Genomic DNA, 21,962 nt, shown 5'->3' with positions numbered 1-21,962 from the left:
GGACAACAGAACCATGCCCCTCATACTGGCTCTGAAAACCCGTCATCATTTTTTCTAGAGCCGTGAGAGACTCTTTGTCTCCCAGCAGCTGGAACGCCAAGTCTCCAGGAAATGCAAGTGGGTATCCATGGCCATGATATCTGTGCATAAATTCCCCTTATTTAAAAATATAAAGATTCAGCTCATGTCTATAATGCCAGCACTGTGGGAGGCCAAGACAGGCGAATCACGTGAGGTTGGGAGTTCAAGACCAGCCTGGCCAACAGGGTGAAACCCTGTCTCTATTAAAAATTCAAAAATTAGCTGGGTGTGGTGGCGCATGCCTGTAATCCCAGCTACTTGGGAGGCTGAGGCAGGAGAATCACTTGAACCCTAGAGGCAGAGGCTGCAGTGAGCCGAGATTGCACCACTGCACTCCAGCCTGGGTGACAGAGCAGGACCCTGTCTCAAGAAAATAATAATAATAATATAAAGATTCAGTGTCTTCTATTTCCACCTTGGCAGTAAATCCCTCTGGGGCTCAAGGTTCCCAGGCCTTTGGCCCCACAGAATTTGTGCCAGGGCATGAAGGATTCATGATTCTGACTAAGCCCTTTCATCAGAATTGCTTGAGTCACTCACACAGACCAGCCCTACTTGCAGGAGCCCACCGTCTGGCAGGGAAGGCAGATTCACACACAGCTAAGTAACCTGTGTGGGGCCAGTCTGAGATCAGTGGGAAATGCCATGGGGCAACTTGCCCTCTGCATCTGTACAGATATGACTTTCTTGGGCATGAGACAGAAACTGTCTACTACCCCACCCAGAAGCCCTGACTCTATAATCTTAGCACTGGTAGTTTTTTTTTTCTTTCTTTCTTTCTTTTTTTAAGCAACAGAATGGCCATTATTCTCGTGGTGGTCCTGGAGGAGGCCAGGCTCTTACTCTAGCAAGCTACCATTAGGCAGTGTTTCTGGCTCCTCTTGGGAAATTGCTGTCTGAATCTCTACTACGATGGCAGGGATTCATCTATCAACTGAGTCTAGTGAACAAGGTAGGCAAGGAACCAAGCAGGACTCTGAAGCAGTGAGAACCATTTTCTCGAGAGGCTCATACACTGCTCTGGAGGTGGGTCCCAGAGGTGACCATTTCCAGAGCACATTAGCAGTACACAGAGGTGTGTGTCTTTAGGAGAGGAGCTAGGAAGAGTCCCTCAGAGGTCCATAATGGCCCACCAAGTCCCTCCAGCTGTGGATGAATGTTGTGTGTCCATTGCTAGGGAGCTCAATTCCTTATTCCTGGCCTTGGATACTAAGATGATTCAGAAAATTCAAGAGCAGATCCCCAGAAGGCTTGTTGGGGGCGGGGGTGAGCTCAGTGAACAGGGGGTTTCCTCCTTGCCCCAGAAATTGCCCAGGGTGTGGGCTGTCTCTGCTGCCCCTCTCCTGAATGCTCGCTCTGTCCTCCACGCTGTGTGTGATAGGGGCTGACCCTCCCTCCTGCCGTGTTTCCCTTGCCCCCAGCTCATCAGGGCACCATAGAAAAACTAGGACCTCGAAGACTCAGGTCCAAATCCTGGTACTATCAGTTACAAGATGTCTGACATTGAACAAGGGACTTTACCTCTCTGAGCCTCAGCTCCTTCATCAAAGAATGAGGATAAACCTACATAGGAGATCATTGGTATAAATCCCTTGGCACATAGGCAGTTCATAAATGATCATTCTCTTCCTGCCTTAGCCCCTGGCTTCCCTGCAACCCCATGAGAGAAGCAGCCAGGAATGCAGGCTCGGTGGGTCTAATTCCTACAGGAAAAATAAGGAGTCTATTTGCCTTTCATGTCCCTCCCCAAATCCTCTAGAACCCTGATGGTGAGTGTAAAGCAGTTAAGCCATTCTCTCCATGCCCTGCCTCCCAGTCCTGCAGTTTCCAGCTAGCCCTCGGTAGAGGGGCACAATTCAGAGGAAACTGTGGGTCTAGACTCTCCAGGGTGAAATGGTCCAGAGCTTAAGCATGCGGGTAAAATCTGATGTCCCTGGGTCTGAGCCCCCAGGTCTCAGTGTGACTCCTATCACTTCTAGCTTAGGACGGGACCTCTACAGATGAAGCTTGCCAGCCCTCCCAGATTTTCTCTGGAATCTCCCAGGATGCATCTCTGAATCTGAACATGAGATGATGCAGAAGGCATGTGCCAGATACTGGAAAATCAGCACAATGCCCTTTATTTATATGGCACTTATTTATTTTTTTATTTTATTTTTTATTTATACAGAACTTTTACAAAGTTCTTTCATGGATGTTATTTCATTGGCACTGGGTGGCAAGCCTGTGGGGGAGGTATTTTTACCATTTTGGAGATGAGGCAAATCAGGCCCAGAGAGGTTAAGGAACTTAGCCAAGGCCACACAGCTAGTTAGTGAACTAATAAGCCAGTCTTTCTGGCTGGTAAAGAGAATGTGTCTCCCACTCTGCAGTAGGTAGCAGTGGCCTTCCTGTCCTAAACCTGAGGTCTGATGTCCAGAGTGGTGAGAGAGCTGGGGGAGGGGCTCACCATGGGATGGTTGTGTTATGTGAGGACTGGATGCCCCGTGTGCTGTGCTGTCGACACTATTTCTAACCTTTGTCATATAAACAATGCCACATCTACTCAGAAAGGAAAAGATAAGAAGAAAGCCAAGTATGGCAGCCTGCAGGACTTGAGAAAGAATAAGAAAGAACTGGAGTTTGAGCAAAAGCTTTACAAAGAGAAAGAGGAAATGCTGGAGAAGGAAAAGCAGCTAAAGATCAACCGGCTGGCCCAGGAGGTATGTGTCCTGCCTGCAGGCCAGGCAAGCAACCCTGGGACACAATGTGGTCGTTCTCCATGTGCTCCCAGAGGACCAGCTGGAGTTGTTCTCCTCAAATGGCATACAAGGGTGGAGTGAGCCCTTTCCTGCTCCCCAGCCTGGAGAGAGAGATCATGCCACCTGCCCAGGGCCATCTGAGGTTAGCTCCTGGCTTAGGAATTGAAACTAATCTCCTTGCTTGGGGGTGTGAGTCTTGCTCCTGGCTTTGGAATTGAAACTAGCCTCCTTGGTCGGGGGGTGTGAGTCTGAGGTTAGCCTTTCTGACCAGATGGTAGGTCTCAGGTTAGCCTTTGATACACCTGGCTTAGAGATTTGAGTCTGTCCTCTTCACTCTACCCCACCAGAGTCTAAGGCTGGGCCTCTCCATCTCAGGTGTGGCTCTGAGGCTACTTAGAGTATGGTCTGCGGCTAACCCTTCTGCCTTGCTTGTAGCTTTGAAGTTAGGCTTCCACTGACCTGTCTACGAGTCTGAATCACTCTGGCCTCCCTTCCCAGGTTATTGTAAGACCAGACCCCCCCCCACCCAACTTAGCTTGGCTCTGAGAATATGGGTCTGAGGCTAACCCCCTTATGCAGGTGGTAGGTGCGAGGTTATCTCCCAATTAATCAGGCTATCAGTCTAAGGCTGCTCCCCTCAACATAGGGTGTGTCTAAGGCTAGACCTCATCAACCTGGGAATATATCTGAGGCTGTCCCCATGAAGACATGTCCAAAGCAACCTTACACCATGAATAATTCCTATGCTAGGTGAGATGGGTAACCTTAACTCCCCAGCTGTAGGAGGTATCATTGTTTCTGCTTCTCTTTAACGCATCCATGAATCAGAATGCCAATTTGATTAGATTATAAAACCAGAGAAGTCCTGGAAAATGTGAAATGCATTAGGTCTGACATTATGAACAAATTAGCCACAAAATTAAAAATAAGATTGAACTTATGCTTCTGAGGGCAAGGCAGAATGGAGCAGGAAAAAAAAGAGTCAAGTTAAACTCTTGGAATGTGCTGGGGGAGGCTACAAAAACTCCATTCTTGGAAAATCATAAGAGCCTCAGGGTTCATGGGGATCTGGGATCCAGCTAATCCCTCACAATACATAAGCCCCTTTTCTGATTTTGCCTACAAGTTCTGCTTAGTGAATTTGACACCCCGCCACTCTCTTCTCCCTTGCTGCTGCCTCCTTGAGGGCCAGTTGGAACAAGCCCAGGTCTCTTTCTAGATAGCTGATGCACCTCACAGTACTCTGGAGTTTCTAAAGGAGTGCTTTCATGCTATTTCTATCCACATGTTATTCAAATGTGCCCTTTGTCCTCTCCTTTCTGCGCCGATCCTGGGTCCCAGGTGTCTGAGACAGAGCGGGAAGACCTTGAAGAATCGGAAAAGATTCAATATTGGGTGGAGAGGCTCTGTCAAACGCGCCTCGAGCAGATTTCCTCTGCTGATAATGAGATTTCAGAGGTAACAGAGCCCTTCTTTCCACATAGACCCTCCTGCTGTCTTCAGAATGACCCACTGTGGGGACAGCGGGAGGTGAGATGACAACTAGCAAACGTCACTAGCCTCACAGTGCCCATCCACTGTCCAGGCCCACCCCTACCACCCCACTCCCCTCTTGAGGAGGAGGGATATGTCTGTATTTCTGGGTATACTCCCAGAGTGATCTCTAAGTCCCAGCTCATCTGCGATAGTCTCAGTTAGGCCTGTTGTCCTGGCATCATGACTAAGAGTCCCCCTTACACTCTCAAGGGCATTCCAGTTTAGAGAATGAACTCTGTGAACACCTTACCACCCACAGATGGCATAACTTGGGGCTCTTCTGCATTTGGGCACTCCCTAACAGCAGCCTAGTATGGCCTCAGCTGGGCATCCAGGTGGCAGAGGAATGGCGCCCCATGGTTCTGATGTAAGGGTGGTGGGTCTCCAGTAGCAAGAGAAACAGATTAGAAGAGCATAGTGCTCGCTGTATTGTGAAGTGGAGCTCTAAGCAGAGTGACAATTACAGAACTTCCTTGCAACACCCCCAGATGACCACAGGGCCCCCGCCTCCCCCGCCTTCTGTGTCTCCCCTGGCCCCACCCTTGAGACGCTTCGCAGGCGGACTGCACCTGCACACCACTGACCTGGACGACATCCCTTTGGACATGTTCTACTATCCCCCCAAGACTCCCTCTGCCTTGCCTGTGATGCCCCACCCTCCACCCTCCAACCCACCCCACAAGGTCCCGGCGCCCCCTGTCCTTCCCTTATCTGGCCATGTGAGCGCCTCATCCTCTCCATGGGTGCAGCGCACTCCACCCCCCATTCCCATCCCTCCCCCGCCATCCGTTCCCACCCAAGACCTCACTCCCACCCGCCCACTGCCCTCGGCGCTGGAAGAAGCACTGAGCAACCATCCCTTCCGCACTGGGGACACAGGCAATCCAGTGGAGGACTGGGAGGCAAAGAACCACAGTGGGAAGCCCACTAACTCCCCTGTCCCTGAACAGAGCTTCCCACCCACCCCAAAGGTAATGTCCCTGTTCTGCATGCTATGTTTGGAAGTAGGAAGAGTGGGGAGAACTGCTGTTTCCCATGTCCTCCACTGCTCCTGAGAGTGGAGACAGAAAGAAACATCATCTCACCCCATTTTCCAGGAATGCCCCCTCCGTGTGCATGTGTGGACATCCTGCATGTATATGGTGGTTCTCACTGATTTTGAAGTGCTGTATTGTATGGTGAATGGCCTGGGACCTTTGGGGTAAGCAACGGTGTGTCCATTTGATATTCATTGCTCTCTCTTAGCTCTTCTTTGCTAGTGTAGGCTGGTAACTTTCAATGTAGGACTTGGAAGTCTATGTTAATGAATAGCCAGCACTCTGTCACATCCAGTCACTTCCTGATATTATCCCAGAAAGCCTTGAATATGGGAAATGGCTCCTGATTTAACGGGAAAAAAAGGGAGGGGAGGAGGAAGCAGGGGCGTATTTGGCTCTGTAAATGAAGTGATAACACTGTACCATCAAATGCAGTATTAGGACATTCCAGTGCCATTTTCTACAGTACTGGCCAACTGCACTGGCTTGAAGTGTAATACCCAGAAATTTCTGGCCAATTTCCAGCTATAGAAAAAATGAAGATGAGAGAGTTCCTAGAAATAATTTACTATTAAAAGAATAGGAATGTTTTTCTTGGATGTTAGGAAGATGAACAGTGTCTTTCTGAAAAAGACATATTTCTTATTAATTATTCGTAATCCAAAGACTATTTTGAAACATGCAATCTCTGAGGAAGACAGGGAGCTTGGATCCCATGAAGGGAAAAACAAAATATTATTCCACTCCCGTAGCCATGAGGCCAGGCTTGAGTCAGTGCAAAGGCATCTCATGTCAGCTGAGGGTAGCAGGGGTTGCTGAGGGAGGGCATAGTCAATAGCACCTGACCAGTGGTTTTTATTAACCTTCCCTGCATGGATTTGAGTTCCTGCGTGGAGAGCAGGACAAGCATCTCAGAGCACTCAGGAGAGCTTACAAGGAAGGTGGGAGTGAAGAAAGTGCCAGATGCCAGCAAGGCTGAAGCTTCCAGCGGGAGACTCTCAGAGGGACCCTTTCTGGACCTCTGGTTGGGGTCGTGAGCCCTGCAGCTTTGACAGGAAGAAATCTGCCTGTTCTCGGGACATCTTTCCCCAGAGCCCAGCCAGGAGCTGGTTTCTAGAGCTGAGTTAGCCTTGCACAACATTTTTCTCTGTAAGTGGCCTCCATCAAGATGAGCAGTAGCTTTTCCTCAACAAATTTGATTCCACTTTGATTGAGTACCTGCCTGGGGCCTCTCTCTGTGAAGGGGAGAGGGGAGCAGTGCTGAAGAGGATGCAGAGGAGATTGACATGCCTGTGCTTTCCAGGACTTTGCCATCTGAAGGATGAGCTGCTGCCCAGGCAGGCTTCTGCTATAAAATATGCATAAGCCATGCGCTATGGGAGGGATTCATTCTAACTGAAGATTGAAGACACCTCTGTAGAGTAGAGGGCTTACGAGCTGAGCCTTGAGGGATGGCAACACATGGAGGATGGGAGCAAGGGCATTGCAAGTGCAGGGAACATAAAGATGGCAAGTTGGAGTAGCAGGGAGTTGGCCTGCCTGGGTTTGAATCCTGGCTGTGCCACTTACTAGCTAGGTAACTGAACACATGCTACTTCATCTATCTGAGCCTGGGCATCCCTGTCCAAAAATAGGAATGCTAATGGCAGCTACCTATTCGAATCAAATAAGTTAATACATGGACACATTCTAAGTTAAGAATGGCAAGAGTGGCAGGCACATCGTGGATGTTCAGTAGACATTAACTATGGTTATTGATAGTCCAGAGTAAAAGAAAATTTGGGTGAAGCTGCAAACCTGGGATCTTAGCAATCTCAGTGTCAGCAAAACTTTGAGTCAGGATCAAGATTCAAGACAGAGTCCAGACTTCTCAGATTCTTCAAGGCATCACCAAGTTCCCACTGTTAGTTCCTGATCAGAGCCCAGGGAAGGTTAAAAGCCCCCCAACACAAGGAGCCTCTGAAGAACTGGACTATAAATGTCACAAGCGACATCAAAGCCAGGGTTGTCCCAGCCTCAAAAGCCAGGGGGCTGTTGCTTGGTTGGCTTCATTTGGCCCACCTCTCACCCTTGTACCACCCACCCTCCTCCTCCCTGCATGCCCCTGGCAAGCTGTCATCAGTGCTGCAGCAGGAAGTGTGAGTGACCACACGCCCACACAGTCAGCCCAGCCACCAGCAGGCCCCAAGTCATGGAAACAAACACCTGTGTTGGCTTGACACTTGTGCCTGCCACACCAGCACCGGCCATAGGGGGGTTTTCAGGGCCAGATCTATCCACAGGCACTGTCCCATGTTCTCACCATACTATTTAGTCATTCATTTATTCATTCAACACATGCTTATTGAGCACCTACTATATGCCAAGGCACTATGCAGGGCACTGGGAATCCCTGCTGGATAGACAGCTGCAGTCTCCCTTCTCAAGACAGTCTGGTGGGGAACAAAGAAAAGTAGGCACCCGCCACACCATCAGCGTGGAGACGGAGGAAGCACAGGTGCTATAATAAGGAAGAGGGCTGGAGTAGAGGAAAAGCTCAAGGGAGGCTTCCAGAAGGCAGTGACGCCCAACTTAAGACCTAGGAGGCAAAGCGGAAGAAGGAAGAGCACGTGCAAAGGCCTCAAGGCAAGAAAGCCTGGCATTTTTTGAGGCTAAAGCTAGGCAGTGTGAGGAGCGTGGCGAGGAGTGAGAGATAAGGCTGAAAAGGAAGCTAGAGAAGCTCATGAAAGGCCTTGGGAGTCAAGCCAATGAGCTCAGTAGTCAATGCGGACACTGGGGAGGGTTTGGGGGCAGGGCTGTGAACTGATTTGATACATCTTGCCCAAAAAGATCAAGTGGGTTAGAGCCAAGCAGACAGGTTGCGTCAGCTCCCCTGGATGCCTCTCTTACTGGTCTTCACCCCATGGCCCCTAGAGACTATGTGCCTACCAACTAGGAACAGCAGATGCTTCACACTGTGGTCCAGGGACTGGAACTGTGGCCAAAGAGACAGCCCTTAAAGACAAGGGACACTGGATAGCACCCATGGCCACTGAGAGAAGGGTCTGAAAGTGTGTCTCCTGGGTGACACTGGCTGCTGGCACCCCCAAGCCAGGCTCTAGCTCAAGCGTCCAATTTCTTAGAGCCGCTCAGTAGTTTCTGTGATCTCAGCCCACACTGTGGCCAATGGGCTTCTCATCTCTCTGCTGAGGATCACAACCCCAGGACCTCGAGCAGTTGAATGACCAGGCTGGCTTCACATATGCATGGGTGTAGATTTGCATGTGTGTAGAAGTAGCATGGCTGGCCTTGGCCACCCCACCATGACCTCACCTGGGTCCCTGTTAAACTAACTCCTTAGACATTTTGCCCAAGCCCACAGCCTCCACGAGGCCCTGGCGTGTCCACCATCTCCAAACCTGTCATGGTCCACCAGGAGCCCAATTTCATCTACAGGCCAGCTGTGAAATCTGAAGTTCTGGTAAGCCCCTTGGGTCCCCTCCAGGTTGTCTCTAGAGGAGCAGACCAGGGCTACCTCCCCTGGGCTCTGCTGTCTCTGGAGGGCAAGTGAGGTGGGACAAAAATGCAGATCACAGATGCCATCTCTTAACCTTCTTATTGGCCAAGAGATGAGGCCACATGGGTGTAAGTGGATGTTGACATGACCAGTGGAATTTCTGTTCCCCACTTGACTGAACAGCCTGGAGCTCTGTCTAAAAGTAATAATGATCGCTACGACCTGTGAAGAGCCTACTATATACCAGGCTCTGCATGGCCTCAATTAATCTTCACAGCAGGACTGTGAGATGGTTCCTGTGGTCATCCTGTTTAACACTCGAGGAAAGGGAGGTTTAGAGAGGTTACCAGAGGGGCACCAGGTTCCCCAGGCAGAGCCTGGACTTAATACTTACCCTCATGCCTTTCATACTCCAAAGCCCACGCTGTTACCCTCGTTGCCATCTTGCCAAAACCTACAGAGATTCCAGGTGCCCTGGCCCCTGCCCTAAGGCCTGTTGTGGCCTGGCATGAAACACCCTCAGATGGGAAACTGGCCAGAGCAGGTTCACTCCCTTTCTCCAACTTACTTCTCACCTCTCACTGTGACTGGAAGTCTGAGGTGTGGTCCTGGGGAAGTGAGAAATGTCCGCCAGTCTCAGTTACTGACGGCTAAGGGAGCTGGGATTCGTGTGCACCTCCCAGAGGTGCCGACCACTGGCTGGCCTCCCATGCACAGTGAGAAGACAGTCATGTCAGAATTTTAACTTCCCTTTCAAGGAAACTCTATCCAAATGTCAGGGCAGGACAGCTGAGATATTTATTTTGGGCCTTAACTGTCCCGTCAGCTCCCCAGAGAGCAAAGTTTTTGCTCCTGGGACAGCCTGCGGATGCATCCATGTCATGTTCTCTGGCTAATATCAAGGGGTGGTGTCTGCTTGACAACAACTGGGTAGCATCTTTGGGCATTGAGCAGGCCTTTAACGTAAGCCAGACTGCTCGGGGAGGGACATTGGCACGGCAGCCCCAGACTGGCAGGCCCGAAGCCTGGCACCAGGGGGCAGCCAAGACCTATTGGTAACATCCAATGTGGAACTTTTTTTTTTTTCCTCTGGCAGCCACAGGAGATGTTGAAGAGGATGGTGGTTTATCAGACAGCATTCAGACAAGTAAACTGATACCCATTGTGTGTCTGGAGGTCTCCCCACCACCCCCGTCCCTCCCACTCTGTGCCACTTCTTTCTCTCTGGGAGTACCTGGTCAGGTCCATGGTGGCCCCATCTGCCACCAAGCCTCAGGCCAGAGCTGTGTCCTCCATTGCCTGCGCAGGGGTGGGGGAGGATATCATATCAGATGGGGACCCAGGGCTTATTAGACCCCATGCATGAGCTGAGAAACAGCAGTATCCCTGGGAACTCACCTCTTCTGCTGCTGTTTGTCCAGAGAGGAGCAGGGCAGAAGGAACCCTCAGAGGCCCACAGAGGCCAAGATGGGCCCTCGCTCCAGCCCTAGGAGAGAGGGAAGGGGCTGCTTAGGTGTCTCCCTGTACCTTCCCCTCTTCTTCTCCGGGCAGATCACAGCTTCACCAACCCTGCCTGACACTGAACCAGCGTCAGGGAGGAGGTGGTGGCTGAGGTCCTCCCTGTGCCTAGGGCACTCCTGTGCACAGGGACGTGGAAGTCCTTGCTGGTCCTCTGAGTGGCATCAGGCAGGCAGCCACCTACCTCCCTGCCTCCTGGGGTACCTCCATGGAGCCAACCATTGGATTGGCTGTTTCATCACCAATGAAAGAAACCCCAGGACAGAGAGAGATCTTGCAGCCAGCCCAGGCTTCTCCAGCCTCCTCACTGATAACCCACCAACAGACCACAAGCTGATTTGACTACAGGCAGGGAGCAGAGGGGCAGTATCAACTGTGCAGTGAGACATAGGTGTTGGCAAAAGAGGCTGCTCCCAGCCCAAGGATTTGTCAATTTAATCTTTCCAGCAACCCTGGGTGGTAAGTGCTATTATCATACCCATTTTATCTATGAGAAACTGAGGCAGAGAGATTTGAAAATGTGCCCACGATGGCACAGCTAATGTCAATCCCTGGATTTGAATCCAGGAGGTCGGTCTCTGCAGCCTGTGCTCTTAAACACTGCACCATCCTGCCTTAAAGCACTGTCGTCACACAAGAGGCCTTCCAGGACCTGGCGGTTTAGGGCACAAACAGCCCTCACAGGGAGAGAAGCAGGGAAGTGCAGAGTCTAGGCTCCAGAGGTGGAGTCAAACCCTTGCTCCCCTGCCCACTGACTGGGTGACCTTGGGCGTGAATATCACCTCTCTGGGCCTCAGTTTCTTCCTCTGTTGAATGAGGGGTTGGGCTGCCTCTTTAAGGGCCAACCAGCTGCAGTGGCTTATGAGTCTCTGATCTAAATTCACACAAAACACAAGTACCTGCCATCTGGCCCATCCCTGAGAGCTGGTTCTCAGGATCATGGAGCAAGGAGGCCAGAGCCAGCACTGCCCAGCCTTCCAGGAGAAACAGCCGGAGTAGGCAGGGCCCTCAAAGTCAAAGAGCATCGACTCCACATCCTGCCCAATGATCCTTCTTGCCTGTGCATTCACTGCACCCCCTCCTCTGTCTGCTGCCCACACACTGACCTGGATGTAGCTCCCAAGCTGAGCCGAGCTCATGGCCTCTTGGGGTTGAGCCTGGGTGATTGAGGCAAGTGAGGAGGGATGCCAGGCAGATGCTTGGGGATCTGTCTGCTGATATTTGGTGCTCATCTTGTGCCCGGAACCTAGTTGGTGCATTCTGAGGATAGGGGAATCTGTAGCCTCCCCACCACACAGACCATGGGCCCCATGGGTCACTTGGTGTGGTCTAGGGACCTGCATGCTGTGGGTGGCTCCACTCAGTCTGGCGAGGCCTGCCACGGGGCTCTCCTCTGCTCCCACCTTCCATGGGGACCAGCCGTGGCTCTGCTGCCCTTGTGCTTAGCATCCTGGCCCCTCAGCCTGGGGATGCCCCTGGCTCCCACTCACTGTGTGTGACTCCCGAGGAAGGCCACATAGTTCAGGGACTACCTCACTGTGTGTTCAGGTGCCACCTCACTGTCTTGTTTCTACACCCTGGAGCCATTGTCCCCACAGCATCCCCCATCAAGCCAGGTCCCCTGAGCTGTGTGTCCTCCCTTCTCCCCTAGCTAAAGGGCCAACCTGCGCTCCGCAGAATCTGGGGAGGCCTCTTACCTTCTAGGTAAGCATTACATGAGGACACTGCCAGGCTCCAGGCCAACACTGCTTCTCAACACCACCTGCTTTCTTCTTGTTGTCCGTGGGCTCCCTCCACCATCTTGTGGCTGATTTCCAGGAACAGCCTTCTCTTGAGCTGGATGGGCCCCTCCTGTGGGGTCAGAGCACTGGGTGGAGACACCTTGGGCTTCATCCCCCAGGGCCTGGGCCTGCTCCAGTGGAGACTTGGAAGAGATGAGGTGGGGCCTAAAGGACTTGAGGCTGGGGCTGAGACTTTCAGCAAGGCAGATGCCGCCTCTCCAGACCATCTAGACGTCACTGGTGCCCCTGCAGCCCCTGACGCTTGTGCCGCTGAAGCAGGGCAGGGTCAAGATCCTCTAAAGTCTTCCTCAGCCTCCTGCTTGTCCCTGAACAGGGGTGCCCTGGCTGCTAGGGCTGCCGGCCTCCTGTCTGCATCCCGTACCCTGGCCGTGCCTTCTCCCGCCCTACCCCTCACTTCTGACCCTTGGATTCCGACCATTCATCCCCCTACTCCTCGGCTCTGACCCTCAAGACCCTCTGCTGTGTTGCCCTAAAGCCCTCCCTTTGCTTCCAGGATTTCCGGAAATATGAGGAAGGCTTTGACCCCTACTCTATGGTAAGAGATGACGCTTCTCTCCTGGACAAGTAACCCCAGGAACAGGGCAGTGTGGGGGTTAGAGGGTTTGATAGTGGTGCATTCTGGGCCTTGGGGTCCTGGGATGAGGTGGGGCACAGAGGAGCCCCAGTGATGCCCCAGCTGCTCTTCCCACGAAGATTCCTTCCAAAGGGCACTCCAGTGTGAACTGTATGGTGCACATGCACGTGTGTGTGTCCACTGTCCCCATGGGGCCTGGGACCCCCAGTTGAAGACCAGTAGGGGTGGGGCTGGGCACGGTCCCCTTGCCCATGTGCTCTGTGGGGCCCAGTGTCCCATAGGTGCCTGGATTCCCCTTCCAGCCCTACCCCAAGCGCCATCCTTCAGGCCAGCTCAAAGCTTCCCACTGTCTTTTTCTCTCTAGTTCACCCCAGAGCAGATCATGGGGAAGGATGTCCGGCTCCTACGCATCAAGAAGGTACCTGGGCATGTGGAGGCCGGTGGGCCGCCATCCCTCTCTGTGCCTGCCCCTCCTCCCTTGGTCTCCTGCCTCTACTCTCAAGGTCACTCCTGGGTGGTCTCTCAGGTCCCCACTGTCCTCCCCTCTCCCACGGAGACGCCCCTCTGTTGTAGGGCCGCATACCCAGGCCCCACTTGGCACCAAGGCTGCGTTTTCTCCAGATGGCACTGCCGGTGACCCCATGGCTTCTTCCACTCTTACTGTGGCTCTGTCAAGAGACTCCTTGGTGCCCAGGTGTCCACAGGCTGCTGTCTGCTTGGCTCCCTAAGGCCTGTTTTCCTCTAACCAGGAGGGATCCTTAGACCTGGCCCTGGAAGGCGGTGTGGACTCCCCCATTGGGAAGGTGGTCGTTTCTGCTGTGTATGAGCGGGGAGCTGCTGAGCGGCATGGTGAGTGGAGACTAGCCACACCCAGGTTTGGGGATGATACAGTGGTTAGACGGGGCCCTCCCGGAAAGCAAACAGGTGACCACTTGGAGTGGGCTGACGGTTGCTGGAGAATGCCCTCCCACTCGGGTCCATCCATCCGACTGCCTGTCCAATCCCTGGGGGCATGGGATGGCGCCGGGACCTGTGAGTACACAGCCAAGCCAGATGCCACCGTGCCCTCAGGGGGTCCCCAGCCAGGGTGGGAGACGGACTCAGAATTGCCAGATACTGAAAGTCACAGCATGGTCTGCTAAGGGCTGACGGGGAACTCAGAGTGGAGGGAAGCCATGGGAACCCTGAGGGGCCTCTAACCCACCAAGAGGAGATGGGAGGCCAGGAGTGCTCCTCAGAGGGGCGAACCCTGAGCTGAGCATAGTCAATGTCAGCCTCGCGAAGGGGAGAAAGGGCTTTCGAGGAAGAGGAGCAGCACGTGGAAACCCCCGAAACCTTGCCTGTCCTTTCAGTGATGGTAGGAGCCGAACGTTTGGCCAGAACTAGCCATGTGCCAGAAGCTATTCATCTGGTTTGCAGCCCTGTGTCTGAGCGTTTCATGGATATTAACTCACTTAATCCTCACAACAACCCTGAAAGCAGGTTCTGTTATTATTCTTATTTTACAGCTGAGGAAACTGAGGCTCAGAGAGGTTAAAGTATTTGTTCAAGGACCCACAGCCAGGAGAAGGTGGAGGCAGGACTTGAATCCAGGCAGTTTGGTCATTTTGCTTTACTGTCCGGCACAAGTGCCACCTCTGTCTGAGGTCTTCTGCAGCCTTGTCCCTTCCCAGAGGGCCAGAGGCCCCCATACCCTGTGTCTCTCTTCTCATTTTGCCTTGTTCTTTATCCCCTTATCTACAAAAACACCCTCTGCTGATGAGTGAAACCTTTGCAGACCCCAGGCACAGTCTCTTGCTTCAAACCATCACCCCGTTCACCTGTCGGACAGTGTCTGAAACCCCACCATTGGTGATTTCTTCTTCCATGTCAAGGAAGCTCCTGAGTCCTTTGTGGCCCTTTGTGGAGATGTAGGTGCCCTTGGAGGAGGAGCCCCAGGCCTCTTACCTTCCCAGGCCAGAGTGGGGGACCCTATGAGCAGATCCCTTCCAGGCAGTCCTAGGCTGGAGCCAGGCTGTACCATAAGCTGGAGGTGGTAGAATGGAGGTGGTAAGAGGTAAGGGGCAGGAAACAGGGATGGGAAAGGCCCTTGGGGGCTGGCAACCAGACCTCTGTGGGTTACTAAGGTGAGGTATGGGCATTGGGAGCCCTGGATACAAGTCCAGCTCTGCACCCATGACCTTGGTGACTTCACACTTTAAGCTTTCATTTCAGCCATAGAAGGGGGACCTGCCCAGCTGGGCAGCTGCCCCAGCCCATCAGTGCCCACCCAGGCCCCACCTTCTTCTTCTGTCTTCATTTCTCTGTCACCTGGTGACACTTCTGTGATACCTGCCTGCTGTGTCTAGCAGAGAGAGGGGACCAGGATGGATGGGTGACTCTCCTGGGTCCTTCCCACTTACAAAGCCCCAACCCAACCACTGCCTTATTGCCCCTGAGACTCTGTCATGGATTTGTACAAAATGAAAAGGTGAAAGTCACCCATCCCCAGTTGCACTGCACAGAGGCAACTGCTTTCTGTGGTTTGGTCCTGCACTGCTTTGAACATAACTAGTCACTGATGAAGCTTCCCTAGGAGCACGTGTGTTTTAAGCCACCATGGCCACCATTGTCAGTATCATACACCACATTCCTATGGGCCTTCATGCCACAAGGCTCCTGGGTGATCTATTTCAATGTAACCTGGAGAGTGTTCTGTGGACATCAGGACTGGGAGAAATTCCTCCAAAAAGGGCTCTGATGTCAAAGAGGTGTGGAAAACCACGCACAATCTGTCTACCTCTTGGAAAGCTGCAGTGCATGTTAGCACATTCAAGACTGACAAATCCTGCAGTGAGTAGCTCTGTTCAGCTTATAACTCAGCTTTCCCCAAAATTATTAGATCCCAGGCAACTCTTTCAGGAGCACCTTATTACAGCTTCATTTATTCAACAAATATCTACTGAGGTCCTATTTTGTGTCAGGCATTATGTTAAGTGCTGGGGATATTATGGTGAACCAAAAAGACAATCCCTGCCCACGTGGAGCTGACAGTGTGGTGGGAGAGACCATCAGTAAACAAACAGATTAATGATTACGAATTGTGGAAAATGCCAAATAAGAAAAGATTGGGATGCTGTGAGAGAATAGGCAAGATCTACATTCGACTGAGCGGGGGTCAGAGAAGCCCCTTCTGACATTTCCTCTCAGACCTAGAAGAAGAGAAAGCAAGGTAGGGAACAGCGACATGAAGCCTCTGAGGCAGGAGAGAGCATGGCAGCTCAGGGACCTGAACAGACCAGCATGACTGGCAACAGGGAGGGCCGGCTGGCAGAATTGACTCAGGCCTCATACTGTGCTGGAAATGCAGGTCTGTGTCCCTCTGTAATAACAGAGGCTCATCATCAATGATATCCAGGTTCTCCTGAGCTGGGGTGAGGGGGTGTGGAAGGGACAGGGACTAAATGCCCTTTGACTAGCCACTAACCAGGTGGCTAGTTTCCCCTCATGCTTTCTGAGTCCACATGAGCTTTCAGAACCCAGGCTCAGGTCTCTTCTGCTGTCTGGCAATGACCCCCCTTTGCCAAGCCCTGGGCCAGGCACGTGTCACATACAGCCCAGTTGGCCAATCAGCCTCATCTGCCTGCAGGTGGCATTGTGAAAGGGGACGAGATCATGGCAATCAACGGCAAGATTGTGACAGACTACACCCTGGCTGAGGCTGAGGCTGCCCTGCAGAAGGCCTGGAATCAGGGCGGGGTAAGAATAAGGCCCCTCCCTCCTTTCCTCCCTCACCTGCCTGCCTCAAACCCTGGCCTCTGCAGCCAGGTCTCACAATAGGATGCCTCATTCCAGGGTGGGCATCTGGAGTCCAGGCAACACTTTGGTGACACCATACCCCATCCAGCCTGTGGTTTAAATCTGACAAGATGGGATTCAGAAAAATAGATGTCAATTCCTGACCTTGGATCCAAAAAGCCAGTGGCTTAAACAGACTCTTGAAGCCAGGGCATGGCAGGTCACCCAAGAAAAAGACTTAAGGTCTTTTCTAAGTGCACACTGAACAAGAATCAAGAGAATTCTGGGGGCTACCAGAAAGCATTAACAAAAGCAGAGAACCCAGGATGAAGGAGGGGCTGGTGGGAATCTGCTCTGCACTCATTAGACACCCACCTGGATCACGGCCACTGCATAAGATTGCCCAGGCTGTGCACTACATAATCTGAGGGGGTGCCCTTTTACAGACTGTAGTGTGAATGGTGCCTGCTCATGGTGTGCAATGCACAACCTGTGCAACTGTATGCAGGCAGCCGAGCCTGAGGTATTAAGTTCAGTGCCGAGGAAGCTGACCAGATGGGCCTGGGACCCACATGAAGGGATGTGGAGAAGAGAAGACTCACGGGTAACATGATGACTATCTTTGATTATCTGAAGGTCTGCATTAGGGCAGAGGGAGCAGAAGTGTTCTCTCTGATTCTTGAGGGAAGACCTGGATTGGATGGAGGGAAGTCCTGGGGAAAGAGAGAGAGATTTCAGCTCAATATTAGGAACCAGCTCATGGTAGAGGGGCCCAGTGATATTTCCAATACTTTTCAGGGGATACACCTAAGCCAAGGAGGGAGAATGAGGGGCAAGTCAAGGATGGCAGTAAAAGGGATTCAGGTGTTAGGATCAAAAAGCTGGGCCAGAAGTCCCCCACTTGATTGTGCATCAGAAAGTGCGTCGGAATTACCCAGAGAGGTTGTTAAAAGTACTATTTCCCAGGACTCACCCTTGACTTCTGGGGGCCAAGTCTACGAGCCTACACTTTTAAGAAGTTCCCCCAAGTGATTCTGAGGTTGCTGCCTGTCCCCGGTCCATAGATTGACATTTGGGAGCTGAGTGTCATTCAAGGGCCTTGCAGCCCTGTCCTCTATGGTCCCGAAGCCTCAGAGACTAGAAACGTCCTCAGACCATGGAAGTCACAGTGGGCCCCAGGTGGGCCCGTGGGAAGAAGGTGCAGCCTGGCTGATCCTAGGCCATGGGGCCCAGAAATGGGGATGGAGTGCCGGGGCAGATGCACCATCCAACTGAGTGTGCCCCAGAGTCACACGGCTTCTCCCCACAGGACTGGATCGACCTTGTGGTTGCCGTCTGCCCCCCAAAGGAGTATGACGATGAGCTGTAAGTGTGTGCAAGCACCTAGCCTGAGACCTCTTCTTCCTTCTCCAGAATCTCAGCCACCTTTCTCCAGCCCATCCCCAGCCTTCTCCCAGCCTGAAGGAATGGCCCAAGCACGCAGCTTCTCATAGCCAGAGCTCCTAGAAAACTCCTGGACTAGAGCCAAGTCATTGTCCTTAAGCAGTGTCTGAGCTGCCTCCCGGGCAGTCTTGTCCAAATTCTTCTCTACTATGGGGAATTGAGGCATGAGGTCTTAGACCGGGTAAGCAGAGACGTTGGGAAAAAGACTCAGGATTGTTAATTCCCCACTCAGAACTTTATCCCCTGCCCCATTATTAGATGGTTAGAAGGTGTCTGTGTCCATCCTTCACTCTCTGGAAGGTCTTCCTGATGTCTAACTGCATTCACTCATACTGTGCCTCTAGGCAGCCGGGACCACAGGCTTTTGTCCCCACGCTGTGGGATCTCCAGGGAGCTTTGGCCTAGACTGTCTCTCTCTGTGATTCCCTGTGTGTCTGTCTCTTGTGTCCTGTGGGTCTCTCTGTCTTCTCTCCTCCTCCCTCTCTGTCTTTCTTTCACCCTTTCCTTCCTTCCTGTCAACATCTTATCTGCCCCCCTCCTTCCCCTTCATCCCGGTCCCCTTTCTCTCTCACTGTCTCCTATTCTTTCTTCCTGTTTCTCTTCATCCCTGTCTCTGAGTCCCTGTTCCTCTGTCCTTGTCATTCTGCATCCATTCTTACCTCTTTGTCTGCCTTTCTCTGTTTCTCTGCCTCTGTGTGGTGTCTCACCTCCATCCTCACCTCATCCCATCACCTCCCCAGCCCTCACCCACCCACCACTCACCCACTCACTGACCATGCCCTGCCTCCCTGTCGTGGCTGGGCCTGCTTGCTCCCCGTGCCCAGCAGAATCTGAGCTCTACACATGTCTTGGAGAAACCAGGGTCTCGCAGCTCCTAATTCTGGAACCCAGGGGCTAGGCAGAACCCGAGGCAGGAGCCCAGTGAAAGGAGAAGCCCCATGGAGCTCTGCCTGGGAGTAACCAAGCCTGTTTTGTGTTTCTTGCTCTGCTCTGTATATATAGAGCTTCTCTTCCCTCCTCCGTAGCTGAAAGCCCCCAACCGGTCCGAAAGCTCCTTGAAGACCGTGCTGCCGTGCACAGACACGGGTTCCTCCTGCAGCTGGAGCCCACGGTGAATAGGCAGGCGGGCCACAGGGCCCTGTGTGTCCCTGCTGCTTGCAGTGGCCATCTGCTGCCCACGCTGTCAGCAGGTTCTTTGGACTGGCGTCTGGAGGGTACACAAGGCGCCATCCCTGAAGTGCTGCCTGGGGCCTGCTGTTGGCCACAGTGGAATTCCTCAGACTCAAAGCCCTCCCCTCAGGGAAGTGGTGCAAAGCCCAGTCTGTAGTACTTGCTTGGGACCCAGGTGTCCTGACTCATCACGGCCCTGGGACCTGCTTTGGGTCCCAAGCAGCACCCAAATGAGCAGGATGAAGCCCTGGGCAACATTCTCTGAGGGACACAGACAATGCCTCGAACCAGGCATGTGGGGCTGAAGGAGCCCACAGGAAGCCTGGCTGGAATTGCCCCCAAGAGATGTCCTCAACAGAATGTGAAAATTCCCCTTCCTGTGAATGCCAACCTCCTGGGAGCTCTTGCTCCACCATGGCCCCCACACTTGGCCAGAACCAGGGCTATTAAGAGGTTTTGAAGGCTGGTCCAAAGAACCAGGGTTGGTGGATTAGAGTTGCTCATGTCCTGTTGTGCCCTGTCATGGCCTGAGCCGTGCTTAGACCAAACGGTCTTCTCTGCCTTCTCCCTTCCTTGGCTCTGGGCTCTATCTGTGGGATATACCGTGGAACCCAGCTGTAGGATGTGTTTCTCACCCTGTGATAGGGATGTGCCCGTGGACAGAGCTGGCAGGTGGCTGTGAAACTGGTGTTTGGTGTGGCCTGAAGCCACAGATGGCAGCATCTGGGGCAGACCCAAGCCTGGACTTGACTTTTCTGTTACAACTTTCCCAAAACATTAGGGCCTCATGCTCCCAAGACACTTGGCCGGGTAGACCATGGCTTCTGGGGTGGCCTGCATGGCCCTATGTTTTCTGTTACTTGCCTTTTGCAAAGGACTCTTGCCCCTGTTCCTCCCAGTCTCCTCCTTCCCCCATCCCAGGTGTCCCTCCCGCTTTCTCCCTGGCCTCCTGTGTGCTGTGGCTGTGGCTGGTGTGTAGCCACTTGGGGCCTGCACCCAGAGGGGTCTCCAAAGGGTGGCAGGGCCTTGTGCTGCCAGAGTGGGTACTCCCCCTTGTGGGGCCTTGCTCTGGCTGGGCTGAGTGTGCACCCACAAAGCCTGTATCCACCTGGGCTGTTTCCACTTCCCTGCAGGACCTTCTTCTGAAGTCCAAAAGGGGAAACCAAATTCACCGTTAGGAAACAGTGAGCTCCGGCCCCACCTCGTGAACACAAAGCCTCGGATCAGCCTTGAGAGAGGCCACACTACACACACCAGATGGCATCCTTGGGACCTGAATCTATCACCCAGGAATCTCAAACTCCCTTTGGCCCTGAACCAGGGCCAGATAAGGAACAGCTCGGGCCACTCTTCTGAAGGCCAACGTGGAGGAAAGGGAGCAGCCAGCCATTTGGGAGAAGATCTCAAGGATCCAGACTCTCATTCCTTTCCTCTGGCCCAGTGAATTTGGTCTCTCCCAGCTCTGGGGGACTCCTTCCTTGAACCCTAATAAGACCCCACTGGAGTCTCTCTCTCTCCATCCCTCTCCTCTGCCCTCTGCTCTAATTGCTGCCAGGATTGTCACTCCAAACCTTACTCTGAGCTCATTAATAAAATAGATTTATTTTCCAGCTTATAGGAGTGAGTGTGGATTTGGGCAGCAGATTCAAGGCTGCAAATCAAAAAACCATAAGGTTTGTGGCCCCTATTCAAGGGTGATAGACAGATCCCAGTGCTGTGATCTGGGTCTGACATGAAGGGTGTGATCAAATGGCCAGGGCTGGCTTGGAGCAGAGGTTGAGAAAGCAGGAGATGGGCTGGGCTGGGCTTCAATGTCTTCTCAGCAGAGATGGTAGGAGATGAAGTCTGTGTGGCAGGGATTTTGCTCAATTCCAGAAAGCAGAGCTGAAGGCAGGAGCCCCGAAGGGTCACCTCATGATATGGGGTGCCCAGCTTCTTTCAAGAACGACACAGCCACCAATGCTTCTCCTGAGGTCACCACGACAGCATGTGAGGGAGGAAGATGGCAGGGTCCACTCCCTCCGTGGAAGCACATCCCACAGAAGCTCATGGGAAATGCAAGGGCTTGAGGCAGGAAGGCATAACTCCGGGGGCCCAGCAGGGGGAATGTCACAGTTCTTCTGGTGACAGGGACCAGGGCTGCTAGCTCTGAGGAAGAGGGTGGGGCTGTATCAGCACGACTCGCCTGACCCCGTCTCTGTTTCCCCATTCCAAATTCCTGTGGTACAATCTGATCAGGCCAAATCACCTGAGCGGGCGACCCTTGGGTTAGGGACCAGTCACAGGTCCAATCAGCTGTGGCCGGGGGTGGGGTCACATCCCACCCAACATGGCTGCTGAGGCAGCAAGGACCGTGGGCAGCAAGTCATGATCACCACCCCTACCAGAGGATGACTATGACATCTCTCCTCCCCCACCAAACCCTGGGTATGGAAAGGAAGTGGACTGGGGTCCCAAGGGAAGGCAGTCTTAGGGAGAGTGCCTCTGTGTGAGGGGACCACAGGAAAACCCCTTCCTGAGGTGGGACACTGCAGAGAGCCCCTCGGGGACACACCCACTGCCCATCCCCCAGGTTCAGCCCTATGTTCAGCTGAATCCCCCACTTCATCCCACAGTGGATGCAGACTAAGCTGGATCCCGAGAACTTGGTAATAAAACAGACAGGCTCTCAACACCTCCCAGAATCATGGCAGGGGAGAGGGGCTCAGACCAAAATGCAGCGACTACCATGTGGGACTGAAAGAAATCAATGGGTGGGGACAGAGAGAGGGAGCAGAGAAACTGCCA

The 21,962-nt window shown here is 52.9% G+C and overlaps 1 protein-coding gene across 22 annotated transcripts in view, besides 3 other annotated features; it reads left to right on the top strand.

Annotated features, from left to right (window-relative positions):
- USH1C (USH1 protein network component harmonin) overlaps positions 1 to 20,785 on the top strand; it is a 50,517-nt gene extending 29,732 nt beyond the window's left edge. For 5 of the 22 annotated variants that reach the window (NR_123738.2, NM_001297764.2, NM_005709.4 and 2 more), the window contains 6 exons: positions 12,705 to 12,746; positions 13,150 to 13,203; positions 13,535 to 13,634; positions 16,414 to 16,523; positions 17,872 to 17,927; positions 20,309 to 20,785. Coding sequence is in view for 21 of the 22 variants with exons in the window: in NM_001297764.2 (NP_001284693.1) it covers positions 12,705 to 12,746; positions 13,150 to 13,203; positions 13,535 to 13,634; positions 16,414 to 16,523; positions 17,872 to 17,927; positions 20,309 to 20,321 (375 nt within the window). In the remaining variant the exon portion in view is untranslated. Of the gene's footprint in view, positions 1 to 58; positions 220 to 2,630; positions 2,784 to 4,163; positions 4,281 to 4,846; positions 5,330 to 5,455; positions 10,039 to 12,704; positions 12,747 to 13,149; positions 13,204 to 13,534; positions 13,635 to 16,413; positions 16,524 to 17,070; positions 17,167 to 17,871; positions 17,928 to 19,007; positions 20,273 to 20,308 lie in introns of those variants that run through there. The other 17 variants (NM_001440681.1, NM_001440680.1, NM_001440679.1 and 14 more) reach the window with 13 other exon arrangements.
- Positions 18,679 to 19,179: an enhancer, noted in NCBI's record as "H3K4me1 hESC enhancer chr11:17517053-17517553 (GRCh37/hg19 assembly coordinates)". NCBI's record gives its function as "activates a minimal SCP1, AML or CMV promoter by ChIP-STARR-seq in primed H9 embryonic stem cells {active_cell/tissue: H9 hESC(primed)}" and the evidence as "EXISTENCE:reporter gene assay evidence [ECO:0000049][PMID:30033119]".
- Positions 19,180 to 19,680: an enhancer, noted in NCBI's record as "H3K4me1 hESC enhancer chr11:17516552-17517052 (GRCh37/hg19 assembly coordinates)". NCBI's record gives its function as "activates a minimal SCP1, AML or CMV promoter by ChIP-STARR-seq in primed H9 embryonic stem cells {active_cell/tissue: H9 hESC(primed)}" and the evidence as "EXISTENCE:reporter gene assay evidence [ECO:0000049][PMID:30033119]".
- Positions 20,952 to 21,451: an enhancer, noted in NCBI's record as "H3K4me1 hESC enhancer chr11:17514781-17515280 (GRCh37/hg19 assembly coordinates)". NCBI's record gives its function as "activates a minimal SCP1, AML or CMV promoter by ChIP-STARR-seq in primed H9 embryonic stem cells {active_cell/tissue: H9 hESC(primed)}" and the evidence as "EXISTENCE:reporter gene assay evidence [ECO:0000049][PMID:30033119]".

Source organism: Homo sapiens, chromosome 11 (assembly GCF_000001405.40).
Source record: "Homo sapiens chromosome 11, GRCh38.p14 Primary Assembly".
NCBI classification, from domain to species: domain Eukaryota; kingdom Metazoa; phylum Chordata; class Mammalia; order Primates; family Hominidae; genus Homo; species Homo sapiens.
Note: the sequence above shows the minus strand (reverse complement) of the source record. Positions and strands in the feature narration are given on the sequence as shown.